General features: G+C 35.2%; 1 annotated feature.

The window, feature by feature from the left end:
• Positions 1 to 618: an enhancer, noted in NCBI's record as "OCT4-NANOG hESC enhancer chr3:106014722-106015339 (GRCh37/hg19 assembly coordinates)". NCBI's record gives its function as "activates a minimal SCP1, AML or CMV promoter by ChIP-STARR-seq in naive H9 embryonic stem cells {active_cell/tissue: H9 hESC(naive)}" and the evidence as "EXISTENCE:reporter gene assay evidence [ECO:0000049][PMID:30033119]".

The following is a 1,847-nucleotide window of genomic DNA, read 5'->3' as shown; positions in this document are numbered from 1 at the left end:
TCTGGCCTCTATTATCATCCAAGCATCTCATAAATGAAAACCTAACTGGGTATCAGGCTCCCAGCTGGTATCCGTGTAATAGGAAGTGGGTAGGGAGCAGCACGTCCCAGTGAATTGAAGAATGGTAAGTTCCCTCAAGAGGGCTATGGATCATTGACTGAAAGTTAATGTTAAGCTGCCCTCATGCCTGGAAGCAGGTGCATTAGCAAGGCCTCATTCCTGAGCTTTCTCTGGTTGTTTCAAACCCTGCTGAGCTGATGAAAATGAAGTCCTTAATTTCAACTATGGTCATTAACCGCCTGCTTTGTGTTTCTACAAATCATTAACATGTCATTTGTGTTCACTTTAAAGATAGGCTTTGTGTTCAGGGAGCTGGGGCTTCAGGGCAATGGAGATCAAGGATTGAAGGGGAAAACGCATGACAAATCGCAAGGACAAGGCTGTGCTGGTCACCTGGTACAAAAATATTTATGATCTCCATCTGAATAATGCAGATGGCACTGGGATTACCTCTTGAATTGTGAAGAGGAGAAGCAACAACATTTACTAGGAGGAAGCATAGTTGTAATAGCTGAAAGTCACCACTATATCCCGTAGCCATGGCATAGCGCAGCCCCAGTAATGAGGAAAAACAGCAACAAAAATGTCTGGGAGATCTCTAGCTTCATGTTTTACTTGAGTGCAAAATGCAAGTTTAGGGTAAAATAATCAAATCAGTTCAATTCATCAAGCATTGATCAGGCACTGTACTAATCAATCTCATTCCTGCCCAAATGATCTTTTCAACTATATGTGCCTCATTGCTTTTCAATTACTGTAATCAAATGACTACAATCAATGCTCCTTCATATTGCACCCTTTGCCCAATCTGTTCCCTTTGTACTTTCCTAACCTTTCTTCCAGCCTTATAGTTCAAGTTCCTGGCTAAGTTCTACCTCCAAAAAGACTCCTCAGTAGGTGATTACCCAAGGAGAATAGCTTCTCCCTTGAACTCACCAATCGGTGTTTAGCAGTTGTTCATGTACTTGTTGCAATACTTTTATTATTACTTCATTCCTGTATATTATTTAGCAGGAAATCTCAATTCCCTAACTCAATGTAAACTCCTTTATGTCAGAGACTTAATGGAATAATATATTAAATGTGGTTTAATGAACAGTGTTTAAGCTATTGGAGTCAAATGCGAATCAAAGCAAGCATTTTGCTCCATTGGTTCCAGGGAAAATTTCATAAGAAAGTCTTTAAATGTTAATTTTTATCTTATTTTTCTTGAGTAATATATTTTGACATTAAATTTAGTTTCCTAAAATAATGTTGCTAGAAGATTAAATCTGCTATGCCTGTATTCTGGCATTTGTGCAATTTAGGTATGCTCCTAGTTTATATACAGCTTCATATATTTTTAAAATTTCAGAATATTTGTGTTTCTTAATTTTAATAATTATACAAGAAGAAAGTGGAAAAATGATCTTTGGTAGACAGATAAAAGATCTTGCATATGATCCTGTTAATTGGGCTTTAATGCTTGAGTACAGACTTTTGAAAATAATTTGTTAATTGTGTATCATATAAACATCTAAAATGAATAGGCATAATTGCATATGCACAAGAGGATGAGAAAGGAATAAAAAAGAGAAAAAAGAAAGATGTGGGATGGTATCTTAATAGTTATTAATACTTTGAACAATTTTTATCTTGACCATGTATGTGATTTTTCATATAACACGTAAAATAAGCTCTATCTTATAGTCTTTCATATGAAGAGTTTATTATTATAAATATTATTTAATTTCACTTTAAAAATGTAATGAACAACAAAACAAGCATCATTCATTCTTGATTTAGCA

This window comes from Homo sapiens, chromosome 3 (genome assembly GCF_000001405.40).
Source record: "Homo sapiens chromosome 3, GRCh38.p14 Primary Assembly".
Classification (NCBI taxonomy): Eukaryota; Metazoa; Chordata; class Mammalia; order Primates; family Hominidae; genus Homo; species Homo sapiens.
The sequence above is the reverse complement of the archived record's forward strand: the minus strand, read 5'-3'. Positions and strand labels throughout refer to the sequence as shown.